The 11509-nt window shown below is 48.5% G+C and overlaps 1 protein-coding gene across 4 annotated transcripts in view; it reads right to left on the bottom strand.

The window, feature by feature from the left end:
* TPM4 (tropomyosin 4) overlaps window positions 8270-11509 on the bottom strand; it is a 35465-nt gene continuing 32225 nt past the window's right edge. For all 4 annotated transcript variants that reach the window (NM_001367836.1, NM_001145160.2, NM_003290.3 and 1 more), the window contains one exon: window positions 8270-10008. In NM_001367836.1, the coding sequence (NP_001354765.1) occupies window positions 9926-10008 (83 nt within the window). In that variant the 3' untranslated portion in view covers window positions 8270-9925. The remainder of the gene's footprint in view (window positions 10009-11509) is intronic.

Here is an 11509-nt window from a genome sequence, read left to right as displayed (position 1 = left end):
GGAGGAGCTGTATACTCGAAAAGTGACCCAAGCCGGACGCGGTGGTTCACGCCTTTAATTCCCACACTTTGGGAAGCCGAGGCGCGTGGATCACGAGGTCAGGAGTTCAAGACCAGCCTGGCCAAGATGGTGAAACCCCGTTTCTACTAAAAATACAAAAATTAGCCGGGCGTGGTGGCGGGCGCCTGTAATCCCAGCCACTCGGGAGGCTGAGGCAGAGAATTGCTTGAATCTGGGAGGCGGAGCTTGCAGTGAGCCGAGATCGCGCCATTGCACTGCAGCGTGGGCGACAGAGAGAGACTCCGTCTCAAAAAAAATAAATAAAAGTGACCCAAGACGAGCTCCGAGGTCTGCGGCCTAGCGATCTGCTTAGAGATACCCAAGGCCTCCGCCATCTGAGCGGCTTCACCGCCACAAGCTGTGCCCGGAAGCGCGCGCCGGCCTCCTCAGGGCCCGCCCTCGGCCACCTTAGGGGTTGTCCGGGCCAGCCCGGGGATGGTGGGGGGGGAGGGGTTAGAGCAGTGAGGATGCTGGGTCCTATCTAGGGGCCAGGGCTCTCAACGTTGAAAAAACTGGCCGGGGCGTTGGCTCCCGTCTGTGATCCCAGTGCTTTGGGAAGCCAGGAGGTTGAGGGTGCAGTAAGCCGTGATCGCCCCACTGCAATTCGGCCTGGGCGACAGAGCAAGACCCTATCAAAAGAAAAAAAGGCTGGGCGCGGTGGCTCAGGCCTGTAATCCCGCACTTTGGGAGGCCGAGGCGGGCGGATCAGGAGGTCAGGAGATCGAGACCATCCTGGCTAACGCGGTGAAACCCCGTCTCTACTAAAAACACAAAAAATTACCCGGGAGTAGTGGCGGGCGCCTGTAGTCCCAGCTACTCGGGAGGCTGAGGCAGGAGAATGGTGTGAACCCGGGAGGCGGAGCCTGCAGTGAACCGAGATCGCGCCACTGCACTCCAGTCTGGGCGACAGAATGAGACTACGTCTCAAAAAAAAAAAAAAAAAAAAAAAGAAAGAGAAAAACAGAGGAGAGATACATTTGGAAAATCGGGCTTGCAGCTGGGTGTGGTGGCTCAGGCCTGTAATCCCAGCACTTTGGGAGTCAGCACTTTGGGAGGCAGGAGGATTGCTTGAGCTTAGGAGGTCAAGACCAGCCCGGACAAGATAGGGAGATCCCCATCTCTACAACAAATAAAATTAGCTGGGCGTCATGGTGCACGCTTGTAATCCCAGCACTTTGGGAGGCTGAGGTGGAGGTTCATTGGAGGCCAGGAGGTGGAGACCAGCCTGGGCAACATAGCAAGACCTCCATCTCTGCAAAAAAAAAAAAGTTTTTTGGCCAGGCGAGGTGGTTCACACCTGTAATCCCAGCACTTTGGGAGGCCAAGGCAGGTGGATCACCTGAGGTCAGGAGTTCCAGACCAGCCTGGCCAACATGGTAAAACACCATCTCTGCTAAAAATACAGAAACTAGGCAGGTGTGGTCATGTGCGCCTGTAGTCCCAGCTACTCAGGCGGCTGAGGCACCAGAATTGCTTGAATCTGGGAGGCGGAGGTTGCAGTGAGCCGAGATTGTGTCACTGCATTCCAGCCTGGGTGACAGAGCAAGGCTCCATCTCAAAAAACAAAAAATTTTTTTAAAAAATTAGCCAGGTATGGTGGTGTATGCTTGTAGTCCCAGCTACTCAGGAGGCTAAGGTGGGAGGATCCCTTGAGCCCAGGAGGTCAAGGCAGCAGTGAGCTGTGATCGCACCATTGCACTCCAGCCTGGGCGACGGAGCAAGACCCTGACTTTTTTTTTTTTCTGAGATGGAGTCTCTCACGGTCACCAGGGCTGGAGTGCAATGGCGCGATCTTGGCTCACTGCAACCTCTGCCTCCCGGGTTCAGGCGATTCTCCTGCCTCAGCCTCCCAAGTAGCTTGGATTCCAGGCACCCACCACCACGCCTGGTGTGGTGTATTTTTTTGTATTTTTAGTAGAGATGGGGTTTCACTGTGTTGGCCAGGCTGGTCTCGAACTCCTGACCTCGTGATCCGCCTGCCTCCACCTCCCAAAGTACTGGGATTACAGGCGTGAGCCCCTGCACCCGGCCCCTGACTCTTAAAATTTTAATCCCAGTACCAGCCCAGCAAAACGATGTTATTGTTTTTTTCCTGTTTAATGGTGAGAAAACTGAAGCCAGAGGAGGTTAAGTGACTTTTCCCCCTTCCTGCTTAAAAGTGGGAATTTGGTATCTGAACTCAGAGTGCCAAGCTTCCCAGGCCGCAGTTTGATCACTAGGGCTCCCTGCTTCTTAGAGATGGTCCAGTCTGTTCTAGGTCACTCTGGGGCCTCCGGGGCCTTGAGGCTTACTTAAGGATCTGTGGAAGGAGGGCCCAGCCTTTCCTCCTCCCTTCCACTTCAGCTCATTCTTCTGCTAATCTAGCTCTGGTTAAAAAAGCTTCAACCAGAGGCATTGACCACCTACAGGCCTCAGCCTCTGTGGTATTTGATAGTCTTGATCACCTCTGAATATTCTTTTTTCTTGGTATTATCCTCATTTATTTACTTATTTTTGAGACAGGGTCTTGTTCTGTGGCCCAGGCTGGAGAGCAATGGTGTGATTTCACTCACTGCAACCTCCGCCTCCCAGGCTCCAGTGATTCTCCCACCTCAGCCTCCAGAGTAGCTGGAACTACTGGCATGCACCACCACGCATGGCTAATTTTTATTTTTTGTAGAGATGGGGTCTTGCTATGTTACCCAGGCTGGTCTGGAATTCCTGGGCTCAAGCCATCCTCCCACCTCAGCCTCCCAAGTAGCTGGGACTACATCTGCACGCTACTATGGCAGGCTAATTTTTTTATTTTTTGTAGAAATGGGGTCTCCCTATGTTGCCCAGGCTGGTCTCAAACTCCTGGGCTCAAGAGATCCTCCAGCCTCCACCTCCCAAAAAGCTGGGATCACAGGTATGAGCCACCATGCCTGGCCCTATACCATTATTATTTTTTTTTTTGAGATGGAGTTTCACTCTTTGTTGCCTAGGCCGGAGTGCAGTGGCACGATCTCAGCTCACTGCAACCTCTGCCTCCCGGGTTCCAGTGATTCTCCTGTCTCAGCCTCCTAAGTAGCTGGGATTACAGGGGCCCACCACCACATCTGGCTAATTTTTGTATTTTTAGTAGAGATGGGATTTCACCACATTGGCCAGGCTGGTCTCGAACTCCTGAGCTCAGGTGATCTGCCCACTTCGGCCTCCCAAAGTGCTGGGATTACAGGTGTGAGCCACCACGCTTGGCCCCTATCCCCCTTTTTTTTTTTTTTGAGATGGAGTCTCGCTCTTTCACCCAGGCCGGAGTAAAGTGGCATGATCTCGGCTCACTGCAACCTCTGCCCGCCGGGTTCAAGCGATTCTTCTGCCTCAGCCTCCCGAGTATCTGGGATTACAGGCACGTGCCACCACGCTCGGCTAATTTTTGTTATTTTTAGTAGAGACAGGGTTTCACCATGTTGGCCAGGCTGGTCTTGAACTCCTGACATCAAGTGATCCCCTCAAAGTGCTGGGATCACAGGCATAAGCCACTGTGCCCGGCCCTGTCCCTATTTTATTTGCTGGTTTCTTCTCCCTACCACCTCTGCCTCTGCCTCCCCTTCTTTGTTTGTTTGTTTTTTCCTCAGACCCCATTGAAGTCTTTTTGAGGTGGGGGAGGGGTGGGTTCTGCCTGTCCCTTAGTGTTTGTGGTCCTCGTTGTTCTGTCTCTGTTCTCACTTTCTGGGGGCTCCTAATCCATGCTGACCATTCTCAGTGTTTTATCCTTAGCCCAGCCATCTCTTCACATCCACCTGCGTTCAGGACATCTCCCTTTGGATTTGTCAGATACTCCTAGCTCAGCATGTTCACAACTGAACCCATCAGCCAATACCCAGACTGGCTTGTCCTGATTTTCCTTAGGAGTGAAACTTAAGCTGTCTTTGACATCTGCCTTTCATCTCTCATCCGTCACATTCTGGTTTTTAAGGAGGTTCTAAATAGCTCTTGAGGGCCGGGCGCGGTGGCTCATGCCTGTAATCCCAGCACTTTGGGAGGCCGAGGTGGGTGGATCACCTGAGTTAGAAATTTGAGACCAGCCTGGGTAACATGGTAAAACCCCGTTTTTCCTAAAAATTAAAAAAATTAGCCGGGTGTGGTGGGCATCTGTAATTCCAGCTACTCAGGAGGCTGATGCAGGAGAATGGCTTGAATCCGGGAGGCGGAGGTTGCAATGAGCCAAGATTGCACCACTGCACTCCAGCCTGGGTGACAGAGCAAGACTCTGTCTCAAAAATAAAAAATAAAAAAACAAATAGCTCTTGAATTGCATTCTTCCATTTCCATTGCCACAGTGGAATCATTACATTTCTCCACTGGTCTCCCTGACCATTTTCTCTAACCCAGATTCCACCCTGCAGTGTGCTTATTCTAAAATACTTTAGGCTGGGCACGGTGGCTCATGCCTGTAATCCCAGCACTTGGGGAGGCTGAGGCAACCAGGTTACTTGAGGTCTGGCATTTCAGACCAGCCTGGGCAACATGGCGAAACCCTGTCTCTATTAAAAATACAAAAATTAGCTGGGTACACATCTGTCGTCCCAGCTACTCGGGAGGTGGAGATGGGAGGATTGCTTGAGCCCAGGAGGTCGAGGCTGCTGTGAGCCATGATCACGCCACTGCCCTCCAGCCTGGGTGACAAGAGTGGAATCCTGTCTCAAAAAGCAAAACAAACAAACAAACAAACAAAAAAACCACTTCCTTTAATAGCCATCTGTGGTCTCTGGGCAGGATAAAGTCCAAAATCTTCCTCTTAGCGTTTGAAATCCCTCACAGTCTGGTTCTGACCTCATGCTGTGTTCCAGCCATACTTCATGGCATTGGGAACTCCCCAAAAGTTGGGACAGGTCCGTTGAACACAGTGAAGTGTGAAGTGCTGAGGCCATAAGCATGACTAAAACAGCATCCCGAGATGAGATTACAACCCAAGTGGGGAGGGAGGAGGGAGAAACAGACACACAAAGGAGGAACTGTGGTCAAATCATGGCAGGGCCTTTATTGGAGGGTGTGACTTTATTCATTCACATTCTCTGCACCAACCATCTGAATCAGCCCAGTGCCCATTAAAGGTTGGATTGGCCTAAAGGAAATGCTTTAATTGTATACTTTTATTATAACTACATTTTCGGTTATTTATTTTATTTATTTATTTAAAGACAGAGTCTGTCACTCAGGCTGGATTGCAGTGGCGCGATCTCAGCTCACTGCAGCTTCCACCTCCCAGGTTCAAATGATTCTCCTGCCTCAGCCTCCTGAGTAGCTGATTATAGGCACCCACTACCACACTCAGCTAATTTTTATATTTTTAGTGGAGACGGGGTTTCACCATGTTGGCCAGGCTGGTCTCAAACTCCTGAATTCAAGTGATCTGCCCACCTCGGCCTCCCAAAATGTTGGGATTACAGATGTCAGCCACCGTGCTCAGCCAGTTATTTATTTTTTATTAATTTATTTTTGGAGAATGGGATCTCGCTATATTGCCCAAGCAGGTCTTGAACCCCTGGCTGGGCTCGTTATCCTCCCCTGTCTCTGCCTGCTGTTTTTTTTGAGACAGAGTTTTGCTCTTGTTGCCAAGGCTGGAGTGCAGTGGCAGGATCTCAGCTCACGGCAACCTCCGCCTCCCAGGTTCAAGCGATTCTCCTGCCTCAGCCTCCCGAGTAGCTGGGATCACAGGCATGCGCCACCACACCTGGCTAATTTTGTATTTTTGGTAGAGATGGGGTTTCTCCATATTGGTCAGGCTGGTCTCGAACTCCCAACCTCAGATGATCCGCCCGCCTTGGCCTCCCAAAGGGCTGGGATTACAAGCGTGAGCCACCGTGCCCGGCCTGTTATTTTATTTTTGAGACAGAGTCTTGATCTGTTGCCCAAGCTGGAGTGCAGTGGCGCAATCTTGGTTCACTGCCACCTCTGCCTCTTGGGTTCAAGCAATTCTCCTGTCTCAGCCTCCCAAGTAGCTGGGATTACAGACGTGTGCCACCACGCCTGGCTAATTTTTGTATTTTTAGTAGAGACAGGGTTTCACCATGTCGGCCAGGGTGGTCTCCAACTCCTGACCTCAGGTGATCTGCCTGTCTGTGACCTCAGATGATCTGCCCACCTTGGCTTCCCAAAGTGCTGGGATTACAAGTGTGAGCCACAGCGCCCGGCTTGTTATTTTTTCGATAACAGAAAGTTGTCTGCAGACTCCATTAATGTTTTAAAGGCTTTCATTTCTCTTTCTGATTCACTGCCTCCCCTCCTCAAAAGAAGATCTTGAGGCAAAATATCAAAATTCAGGTAGTGAAACTGTAGTGGTCTTTGACATTCTGTTCTAAGTTCTCTGCCATCCAGCGAGCTAAATTTTAAGATTACTTCCTTCGAATCACTTCTTCCCTCGTATTCCATGGCAACCTGTACTGGATTATTGAAACCTTTTCCTAACTGGGCTTCCTGCCTTAGTCCACCCCAATGCTAGACCTTCTTGAAGATGAATGCTAAGTGGATTTTCCTAATGTATTGCTTGACTTGTTTCCTCCAGTCTTTTTTTTTTTTTTTAGGTGGAGTCTTGCTCTGTGGCCCAGTCTGGAGTGCAGTGGTGTGATCTTGGCTCACTGCAACCTCCGCCTCCTGGGTTCAAGCGATTCTCCTGCCTCAGCCTCCCGAGTAGCTGGGATTACAGGTGCGTGCCACCATGCCCGGTTAATTTTTTGTATTTTTAGTAGAGATGGGGTTTCACCCTGTTAGCCAGGATGGTCTCAATCTCCTGACCTCGTGATCTGCCCATCTCGGCCTCTCAAAGTGCTGGGATTACAGGTGGGAGCCACTGCACCTGGCCTCTTCCAGTCTTTTTAGTCTTTATTTTTTATTTTTGGAGACAAGAGTCTTGCTCTGTTGCCTAGGCTGAAGGGCAGTGGCATGATCTCAGCTCACTGCAACCTCTACCTCCTGGGTTCAAGTGATTCTCCTGCCTCAGCCTCCTGAGTAGCTGGGATTACAGGTGTGCACCCGCTAATTTTTGTATTTTTAGTAGAGACGGGGTTTCACCATGTTGCCCAGGCCAGTCTTGAACTCCTGAGCTCAAATGATCCACCTGCCTCAGCCTCCCAAAGTGCTGGGATTACAGGTGTGCACCCAGCTAATTTTTGTATTTTTAGTAGAAACGGGGTTTCACCATGTTGCCCAGGCCAGTCTTGAACTCCTGAGCTCAAATGATCCACCTGCCTCAGCCTCCCAAAGTGCTGGGATTACAGGTGTGAGCCACCGCACCTGGCCTCCTCTAGTCTTTAGTGGCTCTCCACTCCTGACTAAATTAAGTTCAGGCTGTCATCAGTGTGGGCTCAGCCTACCTTCCAGCTTTTCTGCTTCTGCTTTGCTTTATTTATTTACTTATTTTGAGACAGGGTCTTGCTCAGAGACGGTCCCCCAGGCTGGAGTGCACAGGCCAATCATAGCTCACTGCATCCTCTGCCTCCTGGGCTCAAGCGATCCTTCTTCCTCAGCCTCTCGAGTAGCTGGGACTTATAGGCATGTGCCACCACACCCCACTAGTTTGTGTGTGTGTGTTTGAGACAGAGTCCCGCTCTGTCACCGGGGCTGGAGTGCAGTGGCGTGATCTCGGCTCACTGCAACCTCCGCCTCCCGGGTAGCTGGGATTATAGGTGTGCACCACCATGCCCAGCTCATTTTTGTGTTTTTAGTAGAGATGGGGTTTCACAATGTTGGCCAGGCTGGTCCTGAACTCCTGGCCCTAAGCGGTCCGCCAGCCTCGGCCTCCCAAAGTGCTGGGATTACAGGTGTAATTTGGCCACTGTACCTGGCCAAATTTTTGTTATTGTTTGTAGACGGGGTCTCACTATGGTGCCCATGCTGGTCTGCTTTCCTTTGTATGTGTAACTCAGCCTTAGCTAGGCAGATCTTCCTAACTCAGGCAACAGAGATGATTTTCCCTGCTTTTATCTCTTAAAATCCTACTCATTCTTCACAGCCTGGCTTAGGCAGCGTAGGGGATAAGGAAGGCCAGGAGTTTTCGAGTGACCGAGGCTGAGTGCTCTCGCCTGCAATGAGACTGTAATATCCTTGTATCATGAAGTCACAGTATAAAGCAAATAGATAACCTTGTCTACATTCTTGGCTCTGGTTATTTTCCCTTTCCATCCCTTTAACATTTGTTGAACCAAAATGCTCTGTGTACCCCCACACATTCTAAAATTCACGCAAATTGTAGTTTATGTAAAAATTTATTTGACCAAAATGTAGAAAAAGTGATACTATTACATATGATACAGTTGCAAGAATCTAAAGTGTGGATTTTATTCCATTGCACAATTTGCTAGTGTATTTCCTGGGTAGTGTGGTGCTGAATAAATAGGAGTAGGGTGGTGGGGTGGGGTGGGTAAGGGATTCAGATAAGCCAGAAGCAGGGTGATTTTTAGTTGGAATTGTAAACTTTAGTCAGCCCCCACACGCTGCTGGGGAATGTGGAATGTTCTAGCTCTGAGATGTTAACTGAGAAAAGAGAAGTCAAACAAAGCCGATACGTGCAGCCCTGTCTACAGAATCCTTCATTATCCAGTTTAATCAGGAGTTTCTTGGTCTTTTATTAACTTGGTCCCAAAGAAGGAATTCAAGTCCTAGATAAGTAAATCCTCAATTTGCTGTTCCCTGAAGTATGGAAATGAAGTTGGGCCAGTTTTTAATCTCTGCTGCCAGAGAGGCCCTTTCTGCTAATAGATAAAAACTCTTTTGCTCAACTTAGTAATGACTTGTGGTCTTTTGGATATGGCTGACCTGAATTGGACTGAACTCCACCATATTCCTGCTGAGTGGGTCATTACTGGAATGAGACATTTGCTCTTCAGAGAACAACTTTATTTTTATTTTTTCTTGAGATGGAGTCTCACTCTGTCGACCAGGCTGGAGCGCTGTGGTGCGATATCGGCTCACTGCAGTCTCCACTTCCTGGGTTCAAGCGATCCTCCTGCCTCAGCCTCCCGAGTAGCTGGGACTACAGGCAGGCGTCACCATAATTTTTGTATTTTTAGTAGAGACATGGTTTCGCCATGTTGGCTGGGCTGGTCTCGAACTCCTGACCTCAAGTGATCTGTCCTGGCCTCCCAAAGTGTTGGGATTACAGGCGAAAGCCAACGCTCCCGGCCAGGGAACAACTTTAGAATGAAGGAAATATGCAAAAGAACATCACATCAAGGATCAATTAATTACCATCTATTAATTACTATATGTGGGTAATTATGACTATTTCCCAAGCATTCTACGTTGACTGCTTGAGAAGATGTTTGTCCTGCATGGTGGAGAGTGGAGAAGGGCCAGGATTCTTAGGTTGATCTATCTGTGGGTTATGACTTCCCACAATAGCCACCCCCGGCCCCCACCAGTCCTTTTATTGGCTCTGGATGGAAAATCCCTACCCATGTGATGGTCCCTGGTCTCTCCTATAGTTTGACCAACAGTTGACCCAAAAGGTTATGGTCTTCAGCGTTTTAATTATATCCACGACTAGATACTGGGGTCTGTATTCTTCAAAGTGTGGGGCTGCCTATTCTCCCAGGAACCAAATGGCCTCCGTCTTAAGAAAGTATGCTTACTAGGAAATACCCTGCCTACCTTAGGAATAAATGCTACTTAAGGAAAAAATAAGAGAGCTGAAAAAGCTGGTGCCATTTGAAAAAAAAAGGGAAGGAATGAGATTTAACTGGTGCTCAAAGCTTCTCCGATACAAAATATTTGGTCATGTATTCATAATTTGCTTGACATTTCCAGCAAAGCGAAGATGGCAATAACAAAAGGAACTTCTTACAAGAGAAGAGAAAGACCCACGGAGCTCCAGAGTTTCTGTTGGAACAAGACTCTTCTGTTTTGCTTATATACAGTTAAGTTCGTTTAGTGTCTGATCCAGTGTCTGATGTAAGCCCACGTTCTCTTCTTTGGCCTGGGCAAGTTTCTCTGGTGAGGATTAAGAGTATGGGGAAAGATAAATTAATAAGCGTCTTTGTTAAATGAAAGAAAAAAAAAGATTTGTTTTTTTTTCTTCTTCTTGAGACAGGGTCTCATTCTGTCACCCAGGCTGGAGTGCAGTGGCGCGATCTTGGCTCACTGCAACCTTCACCTGCCAGGCTCAAGCAATTCTCCTGCCTCAGCCTCCCGAGTAGCTGGGATTACAGACGCGTGCCACCACCACCCGGCTAATTTTTGTATTTTTAGTAGAGATGGGGTTTCACCATGTTAGCCAGGCTGGTCTCGAGCTCTTGACCTCAAGTGATCCACCCACCTTGGCCTCCTAAAGTGCTGGGATTACAGGTGTGAGCCACCATGCCCAGCACCCCCCCAAAGATTTCTAAACCTGAAACTGCCAGGGTGAAAGTCACAAGAGAGAAAGTACTTTTTTTTTGAGACAGGGTCTCACTCTGTTGTCCAGGCTGAAGTGCAGTGGCGTAATCACGAATCACCGTAGCCTTGACCTCCCTGGGCTCAGGTGATCCTCCCACCTCAGCCTCCCGCATAGCTGGGACTGCAGGTGCATGCCACCACCTGGCCAATTTTTGCATTTTTTCTAGAGACAGGGTCTCACCATGTTACCCAGGCTGGTCTTGAGCTCCTGGGCTCAAGGAACCCATCTGCTCAGCCTCCCAAAGTGCTGGGAATACAGGTGGGTTATAGCCACCATGCCTGTCCAGTACTTTGTATTTTTAATTACAGCAGAACATCACAGAATACTAAGGAACAAGCACCAAATTTGGGAGTCACAGTTGTAAGATAAAATGCAGGGCGCCCAGTTAAATTGAATTTCAGATAAACCACAAATAATATTTTAGTGTAAGTATATCCCAAATGTTGCATGAGATGTACTTATGCAAGAGATATACTTATGATTAAAAAATTATTCATTGCTTATCTGAAACTCAGATTTAAGTTGGTGTCCTGTATTTTTCCTTGTGAACTCTGGTAACCCTTGAGTCAGAATACCTGAACTTAAGCTCCAGTTGTATCACTTAAGTAAGCATCTAACCTTCCTAGGTCTGTTTTCCCCGTCTGTCAAATGGGGGTAACGATATCAATGCGTGGTGTGGGGGTTATGATGAGGAATAAAGGAGAAATACTTCAGAACCTATGACGTGCTGCTACATGAAGATTTCAGTCCTAGATATGTGTGACTTAATATAAATTTCCACCCAAGTGCTAGTTAATTAGCCCCTGAGCCTTTGATAGTTAAATCTAAAATCCTGTAACCCATCTTTCCTTCGGAGCTTCTGGGAATGGCTGTTTAAATTATACACATAATTGTGTAACTGTCTATGAATCCAGGAGAACGGAGACAAACCCCAGGTAAATGCGAAATTTAAGCCATTCTACAGGCATGTTATTAAGTAACTGAGCTGATGAAACAATTTAAATTAAAAAAGAAAGAGAGAGAGAAAAAAGACGCCATTTAGAGCTATGCGTGACA

The sequence above is a fragment of the Homo sapiens genome, chromosome 19 (genome assembly GCF_000001405.40).
Source record: "Homo sapiens chromosome 19, GRCh38.p14 Primary Assembly".
Taxonomy (NCBI): Eukaryota; Metazoa; Chordata; class Mammalia; order Primates; family Hominidae; genus Homo; species Homo sapiens.
This window is presented reverse-complemented; position numbering and strand designations above follow the sequence as displayed.